The sequence below is a fragment of the Homo sapiens genome, chromosome 3 (assembly GCF_000001405.40).
Source record: "Homo sapiens chromosome 3, GRCh38.p14 Primary Assembly".
In the NCBI taxonomy this organism is placed as follows: domain Eukaryota; kingdom Metazoa; phylum Chordata; class Mammalia; order Primates; family Hominidae; genus Homo; species Homo sapiens.
The window spans coordinates 170,086,464-170,102,778 of NC_000003.12; the positions used below are offsets into that span (position 1 = coordinate 170,086,464).

A 16,315-nucleotide genomic window follows, 5' to 3' on the forward strand; every position below is an offset into this window, starting at 1 on the left:
CTCACTATGATACAACTAGACAGACATTGGGGAAGCTGGGATGCAAACCCAGAATTCTGGTCCACAGTTCTTGCTCTTTACCACTGTATTACATTGCCTTTCATTGGTGCCACTGACTTCTCAAAAAGAAAAGAATGGTTTCAGAGTCAAATGTGAAGAATGTTGTTTCTTAATTATTATTATTTATTTTTCACTTGAAAATGTACAACGCCCATGAACACCTTAAGGCTTTATAGTGCTATAATGAAGAAGAAGAAAACCATTTACTTGAGCACACAAGTCTCTTTAATTAGCTAAAATTAATTAATTAAGCATCTATAAAGACAAGTTGGGAAATGCTCCTGGAGAGTCAGTCAAGAATTCTTTGAGTAGCAGGTAATACAAACTCAACCTGAGCCATTCTAAGAACAAGCTGGATATTGGCAAGAACTTACTTAGTAAACTACTAGGAGAATCTCTCTGAGTTGTCGGTTTCCATTTTGTGTCCACAAAGTGGGTGTTCTGGCTGCCAGCAGCTCAGGGCTTTCATAATTAATTACACTTACTTAAAGCATCTCCTAACTTCTTCAAATATACAGTCCCGGGGAATGACTGTTCAACCTGACTTCAATCATATGTCCACCTCTCTATGATCAGATCTGTTAACAGAAGACATGGCAGGGAAGAGAAATAATAACCAATATAATGGGTGGTACAATGTTAAAATATATATATACTTGAGAAAATAATAAATAATAGGAATAAAAATCACATTCTATAAAAACCAAATGCATATAGACAGCCAACTATATCGAAAGTTTAGGACAAATAATCCTATGTTCAAGACAACATCAGGGTGTGTTTAAACAGTTTAGAACTCTTCTTAAACCCGGCCCCCTCTTTCCTTCTATTACTTTTTCCTCTAAATATATTGCCTTCTAGTTGTTGGCCAAATATGGGACTGAAATATGTTTAAATATATTGAAATTAATCAGTAAAGACTTGCTTACACTCTTTGCAGATTTTAAATCAGGAGATTTTTAAAACCATTTCAAACCTCACTAAGCTTTTTGTTTTGTTTACACAGAGGATTCCCCATGTCTCATAAGCTTAAAGAAAAAAAAATTATTCAATAGACCAGTCAAATGGAAGAGGCTTTTATTTGTAAAGAAATGAACTTACAACTGATCTACAATATATTATTGTAATATAAACAATATAAATAAATGATCCTGTAGGCCCACTAATCTTCCATCCAGACCCACATGAAGCAATGTTACAACAATATTCTATATGAAAATGTGCAGGTAACAAAGGTGCAATTACAAGCAAGTTAAGCAGCAGAGTATAAGGTGCTTTAATTTAATAGTTAATGTTGCCATCAACAAACATTTAAATGCTCAATTTACTTCACTGAATACAGACACAACAAATATGAAAATCTAAATTCATACACATGCTACTTAATATGAAAGTGCTTTCTCTTTTTTAAAAAAATACACCAAATGGACACTTTTTACATAGATCAAATGTGCTCTTACAATGCAAAATTAACCTTCATTTTCAGGTTATACATTTTAAAACTGTAGCTATCAACACCAATCTAGGAACTCTAATGCTAAGAGTGCTAAAAACTATTTCATTTCTTGTAAGGAGGACTCTAATACAATATCCAATGTAAAGAATACATCTATATATAATCTTAACATGTTTTCTGTAAAGATAAAAAATGTTTTCTTTCCCCTTGGTGATCTTTGTTCATCCTGGGTGGATCATCTTTTGAGGTTTTAATAATATGAAAGTCCTATTTTAGAACAATGGGAGGAACCAAAAGGGGAATTAAAAAATTGGTTAACGTGTGCTTGAAGCATCCAAAAAACACCAGTTTATCACAACAATTGGTCTTTGCTAAAATTAACAAAATTTTAATAAGCAAGACGACAAAAAGTACTAATTTAAAAGGCTTGAAATGCCTGCCACCATTGTCAGTATCCATCCATCCAACCTTCATTTACTACAAGCACAATACTACTTTGAGGATAGTTTTTGGAACTTATTTTGACTTTTTTCCCTATAGGAAAAACAAAGACCAAGCTTTTGAAGGAGAGGACTGGGAATCTAGTTTAAATGTCTACATCCAAAATTATATCATCTTTGCGCATTCAGTTGACTTTTTAAAATTTAAGAATACATATACAAAAAGTACTTATGGAATACATATTTTAACAGCATAACATATTTGAAGAATTAGTTACACTTTAAAAATTAAAACACTTGAAAAGTATTTTTTAAACCAGTACCATGGAATAACTTTTTGAAACCCAGATTATCTGGCTACTTAGATGATAGTCTTCCTGTTTTCAATTAGTTTGAAAGATTCTAATATAGATTCTAACCCAACAGTTTATATGGATATTTTCCTGCTTTAAAAAGCTGCAACAGGCTAGGCGCAGTGGCTCATGCCTATAATCCCGGCACTTTGGGAGGCTGAGGTGGGCGGATCACTTGAGGTCAGGAGTTCGAGTCCAGCCTGGCCAACATGGTGAAACCCCATCTCTACTAAAAATACAAAAAACTGGCCAGGCATAGTGGTGCATGCCAGTAATCCCAGCTACTTGGGAGGCCAAGGTGGGAGAATCTATTGAACCTGGGAGGTGGAGGTTGCATTGAGCCAAGATCACACCGCTGCACTCAAGCCTGGGTGACAGTGAGACTCTGTCTCAAAACAAACAAAACAAAAAAGCTAAAACAATGATAAACTATTTTTAATAGATATTTTCATTCTATATCTTTATGGAGAATGTCAGTATCAACTGATGTTAACAAGTAAAGCTTTGTCAACAGGAATTACAATGTGATTCACAGATCCCAGAATGACAAGGAAGGGACCTTAACCCAATAAATGATTCTCCCATTCAATGTTTACCCCCTAGATACTTAACAATTCAAGCATGGAACTGTTTCATGTTTACCCGTTCTACATTTAAAGGATGCCCTTTTACTATATATGTGCTTTCTAGAATATTACTGATTCTTACATATCTTTAAAAGTTGGATATTTGTAATAGCTTAAAGTACAGTAACACTTATTTTGTGTAATCTTTCTTAATTTAAAAACAAAAAATAAATGAACAAGTCAGTTCCAATGATCTCCTTTGAGATTTTTCAGTTTTAGAAAGTTGCTACACTGTCGGACAGGTGTGGTGGCTCATGCCTGTAATCCCAGCACTTAGGGAGGCCAAGGCAGGTGGATCACTTGAGGTCAAGAGTTCGAGACTAGCCTGGCCAACATGGTGAAGCCCCGTCTCTACTAAAAATACAAAAATTAGCCAGGTGTGGCGGCGGGCACCTGTAATTCCAGCTACTTGGAAGGCTGAGGCAAGACAATCGCTTCAACCCGGGAGGTGGAGGTTGCAGTGAGCTGAGATCGCACCACTGCACACCAGCCTGGGCAACAGAGCGAACCCATCTCAAAAAAAAAAAAAAGAAAAAAAAAAAAAAAGAAAGAAAGTTGCTCACTGTCAATACTGGGTAAAAAGCTCTTATATCAACACCAGCTTTTTTTTTGTTCTGCCACATGCCTTGTATAGCAACAACTCTGGAATAGAGTCAAGTGTCAAAATAATGTTGTGAAATACGGGCTGTCTCAACCTGTAAGTCCTTAATGTTAAGTCTCCTAAATTTTGTAACTTAATCAGGTATGGGGCCAACTGATGTTTAGTATGTGAAATGTGTTATAAAAATTATGATATGATTCACTCAGACCCCTTAGATGTCATCTAGCCTAACCCTTTACCCAATGTATACAAATATTCCCTCCCAGTTCCAAGTTTATTAAGATTCCCTCTCAGTATATTAAGTAGTAATGATTATGTTCATATTTATTTAAGCCACAATGAATTTTGGGGGGAAGATTTTACTTACTACTAGTTCCTCATGTCATGTTCACCAAACACTGCACATGTAAGTGTTCAAATAGTTTGCTAAATGAATTTAAGTACATGAATGACAATATTCATATGTGTTCATATATTCAGTGGTTAACCAATAAGGAGCATTTAGGAAAATGTCATCATTTGCTTGTTATGTATGAATTTTCTATTTTAATCCTTAGGAGAACAAAGACTGTAGGTGACCCAAGAAATGGATGCTTATTAAGTATAAAATGAACCCTTAAAAAAGGAAAGAGAATAAAGTAGGAATAACCCCATTACACAGCCTAGAATCATAGTTTTAGAGCTGGGAGGTACCTTAAAGATGAATTAAACCAAAATCAACTTTTGAGTAGTACAGGCACCATACTGCATATCTGGAAGCTGTTAAAACAGCTGAGTAATTGCCCAACATGTCACACACAGCTAACCCACTGAAATAAAACCCCAGTCTCCAGACCAGTGTGTTAATCCTCATTCATCATCATCTTAATTCATTATTTACTACTGAAATAGATTATTTACTGATTATTTAATACTACCCAAAACAAAAAATACTTTTAAGAGAAGCATTCTAAATAAAGATTTAAACACTAGACACTTCTGGTTTACTTTAGGCAAGACTAAAAAATTCTTTCTAAAACAGGTTGATGTTTAACTTCACTAATGACTAGACACCCCACCACTCTCTCATAAACACCAACTTTTTCACCACCATCACTTAAAGCTCCACAAAGCTTGGATTTAACACTGATAATATTCCATGAAATATAACTTTTAAGCCAATAAGTGATGGTGACTATCAATCCTTAAGATGATTACTGGAGTAAATTTAAACAGGTGCTCTAAAAGAACTTACTACCTTACTCTTATATTTAATTAACACCTTGCCATGTTAGTATAACAGTGTTTTCAAATTATGTTGTTTTCAAAACTGAAATTCATTCATTACTCTGCTTTTTTTAAACAACAAATTTTGTTTTCTTTCTATGGATTCATACTGAACACCACCAGTATCACTGAGAGGACTAGTACTTGTAAAAAGCAGTAGAAACAAAAATATTTTTCAAAAGTATAAAGCTAGCTAGAACCTCACTATGTTGTACCTCTAACATTTCCGATTAAAATTGTCATCTTTAAGTAAAATTAAATGTCAACAAACTATAAAAGGGAAAAAATAAAACATCTGGAAAACATTTCCCAAATGTTCCCATAAACATGACACTTGGAAGGGGTGTGTGCATGTGTCTGAGTAGAAAAGCTGATCTTCAGAGCTGAAAAGGAGGGCAGAGATTCTCCCTTAATGTATGTTTTCTAAATTGAAAGTTTAGAAAAAGCCATATTCTCTGGAATGTGATGGTAATAATTATATTTGTATTATTTGTATTAATGCTTTACAACTTTCAAAAAAAAGCTTTCTCATAGTACAATTTTAAAACGGATTAGGTTCTAAAAACTAATATGTAAAACTTTGAAAATTCTTAAAAATTTAGGAAATTCTTTTTCCAAAGAAGGTAATCTAATTTTAAATTTATTTGAAGAAAGCTTATATAACTACTGTGAACAAAACTATATGATACATTTTATGAACTTCTAATAAAAGAGGACGTATCTTCCCAAATAATTTTTTGTTTTGTTTTTTTGAGATGGAGTCTCGCTCTGTCACCCAGGCTGGAGTGCAGGGGTGTGATCTTGGCTCACTGCAACCTCCACCACCTGGGTTCAAGCAATTCTCCTGTCTCAGCCTCCCAAGTAGCTGGAATTACAGGTGCATGCCACCACACCCAGCTAATTTTTGTGTTTTTAGTAGAGATAGGGTTTCACCATATTGGTCAGGCTGGTCTCGAACTCCTGACCTCAGGTGATCTACCCACCTCAGCCTCCCAAAGTGCTGGGATTACAGGTGTGAGCCACCATGCCCAGCCCCAAATAATTTCTTTTAAGATATACAGCTTAACAAGTTGAAATTTTAGTAAGATTGCATATTTACTTTTCCTAATACTGTATTTGTGCTTATCTAAAGTGGATCACAATCTTTGAGATGAAATTAAATGCTCCAAGTAGATTTGTAAAATACCAATATTGATGAATGTGGGTAAACAGTTCATTTCATGATCCACACTGCTGTGAACCAAAGAAGCAGAGGTAGGCTTGTGTTTACTGAAATCCAGACTAGGAAAGAGAAACCTATAGCTCTTCTTTTCCCAATTCTTAGACTGAGACACAACCTAGCAAATAAAATACTATCTTAAAATGCCTCTCTTTATAACAATCTACAGAGGTGATTCAACTGTGATATCTGAAAATGGAAACTCTGTAATTCTGGCAACTCAATTACAACAACCTTTGAATTTTTGACAAATATTCTCCAACTGTAATAAAAGGTTCTCACCTTTTTCAGAAATCAAAAATCACTAACTTCTACATCACTGGAACTATTAATATCCATGCTCCCAAGCATGGAGACAGTGGGTATAGAGAGTGAAAGAATGAGTCTGATTACAGGTAAATCTTGACATATAAAAACTATAACCTATTTACTGCTATAACTGGCATCTAACAAAACGCATTATTTTGAACTATGGATGAAAGCCATATCTATCCTAAATATCTTCTATCCTCTTGGGTCTAGAATGCTTTGTTCCTCCTACTTGTCTCCTCCTCTACTTCCCTATCCTTCCCCCTAGAAAACCTTCCTTAGGGCCCAGCTAGTTACATATGTAGTACACAAGATAGAGATTGAGCAATCATTTTGCATAGATGCGCCAGTTTCCACTGCCCAAAGGTTGCTCTGGAACATGACTGTCAGGTATCAGAAAGTCCTGCCCCAGCTGCCTCCCTTCCTAAAGTTAGCCCCCATACGAAATCCTCTCTAAGGATTCTGAGACAAAGATCTCTCCAAGAAAGAAGTTTTCATGGTTTTCTTGGAGCTAGAGGCCTTAGAGAGGTAGTGAGATGAGGCCCTTTCATGCCATTAGCTAATGCTCAATGCCAGTAGGCTGCATGTGTTCCTGCAATCCACCAAGGTGAAAACCACAAACTATAACCAGGCTGTTCTGGCTGAAAATACATCTTTAAAACATTTTAACAGTGTGTCCAGTCAGTTTCATCCACTGGATATGGCTGTCAGGTCAGCATCACTCACATACATCTATAATAGTGTATTCTTTCAAAAATTGTTTATACACACTTAATATAGGCATATAGCCTAAGACTATATTGCCTCCCTACCATACTTGTGCCATTGTGGTACCAAAAGCCTGAAGATGTACATAATGTACTTTAAGACATTTAACTGAACAAGTCAGTGGGAGACAGGGCACTATAACACATTTCAATTCAATCTAAGACTTGTATTTGTGAATAGATGTCTCATTATAATTTTATACTTGATACATGAAGATAAGCTACGTCAAAAATTATTCAAAGGCATGATCACAATAATACTTGTTTCATAGTTCTAAGTATTTTGATACACCAGGAAACAAAAATCAACTGGGATCCCTAATGAAAGAAAATTATTTCTTCTAAGTAAAACATGAATTTCACTTCAAAAGTGCAGAAATGTGCTCAGTGTTGAAGTAGGCTAAGCTAACAAGGATGATGGCCTCCTCCTCTGACTCTTCCCATGCTCAAGCTTTTGCATTACCATTTCTCTCCTCCCATTCCACCTTGTCTACTCCTAGGTGACTGCTCTTAAAACACACCTTTTAAAAAGTTCTGTTTAGAGCATTCAACAGCAAAGTAACAGGACCATCAGGGAAATAATATGCTACTTAAAAAGTGACAGGAGGATTTGGGACAACACTCTATCTCATACTATATTGACTACTCAAAGCTGCATAGCTGTGTCTTACACATGCCTACACAAGGCTTGATGAATATTAATGTCATATAAAAAATAATTTTTACAAATCAGCTCTCTTAGTTGTTTAACTTCCCCAGGAACACAAGGCTTAAAGCAAAATTTCAAACTTATGCTTTTTATCCCAATGGGACAAAGAGTGCAACACTGCAAGGAAGTCAGAAAATGCAAACTTAGGTAGCAAAAGTAGGAAGAACCTCCATGTTCCCTTTCTGTTTGTCATTATCTCTCCCCAGTCAAAATCCTAAAACTATTAGTAGTAGTATGAAAGGATATGAAAACAATTTACTCTCCCCACCTATATCATACTGAAACTCTGCTTTAAAGCTCAGGAGAGAGGTGGATGCTCAGTGTTGTCTATATATCCATTATATATAGCTGAAGCTTTGAAATTAAGATGATTAACTCATCTTGAAAGAAACAGCTGCACCAATGTGATAGCAAACAAGCCATTTTTAAATAAAAACTCACTTGAAAAAAGCAAGTGCATATTTTGTGTATGTTTTGAGTGGGGACAACAGAGATCTGGACTAGATTTAAGATTATACGGTATTCTCCAATAGAAAACCCTCTTGTAAGCCCCTCCTGAATACTTAAGACAGCAGTAGGCACAGGGGCTTTCAATAAGTACAGAATGGCTGCTATTAGGAAAGAGAACAAATAAAAGGAGAGCCTACAACACAGTTCAAAATTGATACCTTAAAGGCCATAGGTAATACAGTTATAGGATGTAATCATTATTGCTGGAGCAGTCTATCCCCATATAATAAATTTTGTATTAACCGTGGATAATCTATGAAAAGTTTTAATTCCAGGCGAGATTTTCCGTTGCACCTCTCTCTCTCATACTGTGGGCCATCTCTTACTAATGCTTAGCCTGTATTTGTGTTCTGAAATTCCAAGAAGAGGGAAAAGTCAAGCATATGACAATTCTGTCATGATGATTAACTGCTAATAAATGAAAACTCATTATAGAGTACCTAGCTTTCCTTGATACTTTAATCCAATGATTAAAAATGTGATATAAAGAAATACGTAACATAGACTACAAGCTATCGTAGGTCTGGAACATGAGCCTTATATTATATTACATATTCTAATCCTACATGTAACTATCAGTAAACATCTTTTTTTAAAACATTACTACACAAAGAATTCCACAAAGCATACATTCAAACAAGAGGCATCTAAAGATTAAAAAAATTACCCGCTGTATTTTTGTATAAAAATAATCAACATTCTCTAATGTACACAAAGCCAAAAGATAAATATAGTATCTGTGATGTCTTCAGTGACATCTTTAGTCTTCTACCAGCTCAACACAATCTTTTTGAAAAGAGCAGTGAAAATGACTGAAACTCACGGACTCTTTTTTTCCCCTCCTTACTCGACTTCTGCCAAATATCTGTGTATGTTCCTTCAATTACTAAAATATCTCAATTGTGGTAATATAAGAAAAGATGAAAACAAAACATTCATCATCTCAAATAAAATTTTTGATGTCCAGGACTATAAAGCTTTCAGGGCTTCCACAAACAATTTTGTTTTAGTGTCATAATTCTATAGAACACTGTTCAGTAAAAGGTTTTGCTTTACATTTTTTTCCTCAAACATGTACATACAAAATTATATCCGATGGTTCAAGAGAAATCACTTGGTAAGTGCTTTGCAGGAAGCATGCAAACGTTTGGTAAAGGAAGTAGGAATGTGCATTCTAGCTAGTCCCAGCATGTTCAACAATAGAAAAAAATCCAAAGAGCAACCACGTATCTGCTACAAACTATTTTCTTGCCAGAAAAGGCTGTGCACTAGTTCATAGGTATAATCATATTATGTCTTCGTCAGTGCAGAGGAGCACAGAGGTATGAAAGATAATCAGAATGAATTAGTACTTTCTGAGAGTTAAATTATTTGCATGTTTGTCCTTATTTTATAGGACAATTTGTAGATTTTTTTTCTTTTTCTAGTATGATTAAACTAGAAAAAATTATTCAGCAGAATATTAATGTTATCTGAATAATACTTCCATCATATATGTTTAGTAAGCTTCATCCTTTAAAAGTATTCCTTTGGGTGAAAACAATATTTATCACTCCTTCTATATCAGAGTTTCTCAACCTTGGCAGTACCGATATTTTTGAACCAATAATTCTTTACAGTGGAGGGGTGCTGTCCTGTGCATTATAAGATGTTTAGAAACATCTCTGGCTTCTAACTACTAGACACCAGTAGCAACCCTCCCCTGAACCCACCCCCAAGCTGTGACAACCAAAATGTCTCAACATTGCCAGATGTCCCCTGGCGATCAAAACTGACCTCCACTGAGAACCACTGCTCTAAATAAATGTACAAAAACTGAGAGGAAAACGTTCTCAGTCAAACCAAATTCTTGGTCAAGTTTGGAATAGAAACTAACTCTTCTCACTTCCAGATCAGTATTGTTCATACTAGAACACAATTCCTTTTTTATAGATAAAGCATATGTCTAAAAGACATGTTTTTTAAAATGTACACTGATTTCATACGATTCTGTCACTGGACTACTAAATTATTCCATAATATACCTCTCATGACAACCTTTAGAAAACTAATAGGGTAGAAAAAATGTATAAGAAAATTGAATCAAAAGAGGAGAAATGTAAATCATTAAATTACTTTTAAAAGGATTCTTTATATTAATGATAAACATCACCTTTAAAAAAATTATCTAGTATAACACATTTCTTTGAAAAATATCATGGCCCTCTGTAACAAGTCTTTCAATGTTTCATGTAACCTGTAAAATTAATTTTACCAATGTTTATTAATTATGAAAATGCATGATGAATTATTATACCTGTAGAAGAAATGTCAGTATTTGATGTGGAGATCCCAATGTGCTTGGCTATCCACCACAATAAGTGTCATATTCTAGACCAAGTTAGGCCTTTACCTTACAAGTTTTTGTGAGAAAAGTAAAACTGCTGTTTTATCAAGGCTTCATGTTCCTGTTAAGATTCCTTCAGAGAGTTGATGCGTGCACAGATCTTCAGGGCTGGGCCTAGCTTGATATTCATTGCACTCATGAGATGGTCTTCTTTCAGCAAGAGAAGGGCCTGTCCATCAATCTCCTGTGCTCTGAATTCATCTGCGATATCCTGGCAGCCTGGAATTTGACCAGAGGACAGAAGTTAGAATTAAATATACAACAATTAGACATTACTCCTAACAGTCACAGTTATGCTCTCACTGGGTCTGAGAATCTGAAATACAGGCTGAGAAACAAATGAAATTTATTTATGGTAGTCTTGAGTTCACTCTTGAAGAATAGAGTATTTGCATTCTGAAAATAAGAATTCAAAATCCAGGTAAAGCAATTTGCTTGGAATTCTTGCTCTAAAATAATGTTATAGAAATAATTCATAAGAGGGAAGTCTAGATATAATACTTCCTTCACAAAAAGGACTATGGTGTTACCTCAAAGCATGCCACATAACAGGTTTGGGTTAACTAGTTATACCTCATGCACTTATCTCTGTATAATATATCCTTCACATATAGGTAAAGAGGAAACAAAAATATGTTTTGTCATTTAAATAACAATCTAGAAATATTTTCTCAAGTAAGTACCACTTTCATTATCATTTGTACCTTATCCTAATTTATGACCTTCACTTGAAAAGTACATTTAAAATATTTTTATTGTTCACTCGGGACATATCAAATTTCTCAAGACTGTATTACCAATCTATTGCAATGCTGCTGAAATGTATTACGCTGCTTGACTTGACTATCACTGGGCTTGTCTCCACTTTTGTTAAGAAAACAATTCTCATTGAAATTATGAGCTTGCTGGCGAATTTCCTGCCATATAACCAATATTTTAGCTCTCAGTCTAAACCAGGTGCTTTAGCAGGTAACAATGCTAGTATCTACCTGAAACTCAAATGTTTTTACTGTCTACCAAATTTTCACATCCAAATTACTCAATAAACTTACCCATTAAGGGTAAAGAAACCAATAGGAAAGGTAATCAATTAAGTAGCTGAGATGAGAGAATATAAAAATATGGAAGCTTTCTTGAGAGACAGTAAAATTTTAAGATGAATTTAAGAATACACATAAAAACTGACAGCTTAAGTTTTTCTATTTTATTCAAATCAGCATTCTAAGGGAAAACACAAAGAAAAAGATAATGAAAAATGAAAATAGTTACATTACACTTTTGGATGCCACAATTTTGCTAGTTCAATTATCCTTTCTACTTGCAAATGTATCATCCTCTTGTTTATGTAAGATTATGATGTCTTACAACCCCAGCACAAAGCACAAAGCATTATAGGTACTGAATACATAATATTTGTCAATAAGGACTGAATTAGTGAATACACAATAAACAAAAATATAATCTGCTATAGAAGAGCTATCTGTAAGAGTAATACAAACATTTTTTCCTGTGTACAGCTGTGTGTCCATTTTTTCTCTTGCTTATTTCTTTTCTCACGTCCTCTGTTACTTGTATCTTTACTGTTTCCTATATAACAACTAGCTTTTCAATTTCTATTTTAATAATTTCTCAGACTTTGAAAAATTGACATTTCAATACCCTCTACGAAATTATTATGCTTTTGCACATTTATCTTATAAAAGAAACTATAGTTGAAATGGGATTACTCACCATAGAAAAGCCCCTTTTCTTTTCCCAGAGGTAGCTCTCAACAAAACTGGGCAGACAAAACTGACTAATCTTGCATCTAGTTGTGACTTCATCCTTCTTTTTATGAAAGAACTAATGTTCTTCTCTCTTCAGTCTTACTTACAAGAACACAGGAAAGAAAAGAAGAGAGAGAAAGATAGGGTGGGACTTACTTAGATTCAGAAAACAAGAGCAATGAGAAGTAATGAGAACTATAAGAGCTACATTTGGGAATAGAAACAAGGAGTTCTCCATGAGGAAAATATGTAGCACATTCCTGTTCCTCTGTATTGTGAGATTCCTCTTCAAATATCCTCTTGTAGGTGAACAGTAAATGTATTAGCAAAATAATATAGAACAAAAAGTGTTTTGGGAATTAGCACGATCAAATAGGAATGCATTTTAGATCACAACTTTCTTAAGCTAACCACAAAAAAAGTATAGTTACATCAGTATAGAAATTTAAAAAAAAGTGACTTAGAAAAATTGGAAGCAAGTATGCTTCCAGAATCTCATTACAGAAAAATATATTTTAAAAACAATTTTAAGTGCTCAAGGTATACTGAGATAAAGTTCTGAGTTTCTGACATTAACATCTACTTTGGTAAAATGCCTGGATCCCGGGGATGTGTACAAAACATACACCAACTGACACAGCCAGTCAGCTGAGCTAGCTTCACCTCACCAGAAGCAAGTGTAGTGCAGCTCTCAGCACAGGCAAGGACCTCTGCACATGGGTCCCAACTGATCTTTCAAGTGTCTGGCATCACTTCTCCAGCTAAACTCAAAATAAAACACCCTGCACAAAAATTGACCACAGTAAGGTTGGTGAAAAGGTATCACCTGCCACTCAATACTACAGAATAAACAAGTCCCAATACTGATATTACAAAAACCAGTAAATAGTCATGTTTTAAAAAATGATTCCTAGTTTATATGCCTACAGAAAAATCAAATCTACTGTGGATTCACCCTTCAATAAACAGAGGACAAACTGATCTCTGCAAAAGGCAGTTCACCATAGCAAGGAAAGGTTAAAGAAGATAACCCGCAGTAAATTGAAAATAAGAATTATTCCTGTAGATAACTTTTTAATGCAGAGAAAATTAGAAGGCGGTAATTTTTCATTCTGTTAACAGCTCTGAGATTCTGGTCTACTGCATACAAGCTCTAACATAGTCTGAACAGGATGGTTAACAAGACGATATACAAAGAGAAGAGAAAACTGGAGGAGTAAATATAAATGCCCTGGTTAAAGAGGGAAGGAAGCCTATCTCAACTGGAAAGAAACAAAATACAAAAGAGATTACAAAATTTACAAGCTTGTTCATCCTATGAGAAAAGCTTGGGAGTAGACTACTCAGGGAAAACAAACAGCGCTTAATGAGAGCTAAAAGAAGCTCAAAACGAAATTTACAAAGTCCAGAGAAGCAGAAAGAAATGAACACTAAGGCATTTTCTGGTATGAGATTACCTTAAACTATAGGCATTATGCAGAGAAAACTGTGAGAAAGGTGATACAACTAATCACACAAATAAGCTTATTATTTGGCCTGTCAAAGCAGTTTGGAAACACTCCCATTTCATAAGTAAAGAAGAGAGTCATATTAACCAGACTCTAAAATAGTAGTAAGCAATTCTAAATTATATAATAGCTGTGTCCTTTTTATGATATATAATGTTTTCTAAATACCTGGCAACAAAATTAAGTGTCTAGATGAACTCTATAAGACAAGCATTTTAAGTTATGAGGAATATTAAGTTTTATGTTTTTTTAACTCAAATGATGCAAGAATGAGGCAAAGGAATTTGCCTTTGTTCTGGTAAAGTAGCCACATGGCAAAGGATGCTGGGGAAAATTAGCCTAAATAAAAAAAGAAGTGAAAGAAGAATCAGCAGTATCCATATTTGTTAATTATTTGGGCAACTACTTTTCTCAGGATATAAACCAACTCTCTTCTGCAAAGGAAAAGAAAAATTTCCCCCAAATGAAAAATCAGGCTCACAAACAGATCATGTGCCCTACCTGGAAGAGTGACACTACTTCTGAAGATGACAGAATCAAAGCCCAGCCCCAGGTATCCACATAGACTCCAAAGTTAATTCTCAAGATAGCTATACTGGTCTAAAAACTAAAACTGGTTTCATTAGATACTAAAACCACAACCAATGAAGACCCACTGTCTTCTAAATACACCCAGTTTAAAACAGATTCTAAATCCACATGGTCAGCAATTAACTCACATCTAAGTTTTCGTGGGCACATGCACATGTTTAAAAATCTTCCCATGAAGTATCTCCACTTTAAACAATTCCATCTTTCTTTAAAAGTGGCCATATTTTTTTAAAACTTAGCATTTCTAAAACAAGCTATTGATAAACTAATTTAACAAAATCTCACAGAATTCTGTATATGAGGTAAAGTGGGTGACGGATTCTTTACAACTATCATTCCTAAATATATTTTCTTGTATAGCATGTTAGCTCTAAGTATGCTTCCAAGACTTTAGTTGCCATCAGAGAAAGACTAATTAGCAACAACAGCTGATTAATTAGCTTATTAAACTGTAAAAAGTTAGTAGACAAGTTCAAATAGGATGTATTCTTCTAGAAAGCTTGTATCAAGAGAAATGATATGATTCGCAATAAAACCAAAAGGAAATAAATTTTTTGTTTTAGTCTCCTCATTTTCCATATGCGTAAGGTCAAAGTGAATGACAAGATTTACTGATTTAAAAAAGTATATATATACATATATGTATAGTCTTAACATATATAACTAGTGTGGGTCTCATCATGAGCAAAGGTGCAGCTGTCTTTAGTAGCCAGCCCCTTGGAGAAGGTGGATATAAAAGATTATTGTTGTTTTAAGGAAAAAAGATAGAGACTTAAGGTGATGGAAAGAGTATCAAAATGAGAGAACAGGAAAACATAAATAAGAAAGTTACCCTCAATATTAGAATGAATATAATTGAATTTCAGCTCTCTATTTGAAAAATAAAATTTCAGAAAGGCTCTTGATGTTTATTTATTGAAAAGAATCAAAGAATGTACCTTCTTTTAAAAGGACTAGCTTGATTTTTTCAAAGAAACCAAATTTTTACATTTTAAAAGGTTTTGATTAGCTTTCAAAAATGTAAAAAAAAGAAAAAAGTCTCTCTTACTTCATTTTTTAAAAGGTTAAATTAGGAAATAAGGAGGAATAGAATAGAAAAATAGAAGAGCAGAAAGGAAGAAGTGTCTGATTCAATCTCTCTACTGACCTCTCGAGAGAAATCAGACTGAAGAGAAGAAAGCACCTTTAATATCTTCACCGGCTGAGGTGTCACAGCAGAAGCAGGACTAGTCAGTTTTTATCGACTTGGGGGGTATGAGAAAATACCCAGTAGTGCTGAGGGAATAAGCAAGAGGAAACAGATCATATTTCAATAACAAATGTCATTTTATTTATACATATACACAGTACTTCTCTAGCCCTTTTGTGCAAAAGGTGTGGATGTATCTAACATTGCTGTGTGTGAATGCACAAGAAAAATATTAAGGCCAAAGTGATGAATTACATACCAGGCAAAGAATGGATGAAGGCCCAGACATCATCAACTGTCCATATAGATGGCTCTGTTTGTGCAACTGGTAGCAAGTCACTGTTCTCAGGCATTTTCCGAATTCTCACATCCCGAAGCTCACGTTCTCTTTCCCGCTCGCTCTGCCTGCGCAGACGAGTTGTCATAGCAGATGGCACAGAATCTTCATGAGAAGCCAAGTCTTCTTCTGCAGATGGATAAGTAATTGGAAGCTGGAAAATGTAGTACAAGCAAAATACAGCATTGCACTTTCCTTGCATTTCTGAAAAGGGTATTTTAC

At 34.7% G+C, this 16,315-nt stretch overlaps 1 protein-coding gene across 20 annotated transcripts in view, besides 1 other annotated feature; it reads right to left on the reverse strand.

Moving 5' to 3' along the window:
• Positions 1-1,120: 1,120 nt before the first annotated feature.
• Positions 1,121-16,315, reverse strand: part of PHC3 (polyhomeotic homolog 3) — a 94,150-nt gene continuing 78,955 nt past the window's right edge. For 16 of the 20 annotated variants that reach the window (XM_047448988.1, XM_047448987.1, NM_001438001.1 and 13 more), the window contains 2 exons: positions 16,016-16,247; positions 1,121-10,921 (listed from right to left, as the gene is read on the reverse strand). In XM_047448988.1, coding sequence (XP_047304944.1) covers positions 10,767-10,921; positions 16,016-16,247 — 387 coding nt within the window. In that variant the 3' untranslated portion in view covers positions 1,121-10,766. Of the gene's footprint in view, positions 10,922-16,015; positions 16,248-16,315 lie in introns of those variants that run through there. The other 4 variants (NR_199370.1, NR_199371.1, XM_047448990.1 and 1 more) reach the window with 2 other exon arrangements.
• Positions 4,225-4,425: a silencer, noted in NCBI's record as "peak4915 fragment used in MPRA reporter construct". NCBI's record gives its function as "represses an SCP1 promoter by STARR-seq MPRAs in K562 erythroleukemia cells {active_cell/tissue: K562}" and the evidence as "EXISTENCE:reporter gene assay evidence [ECO:0000049][PMID:32103011]".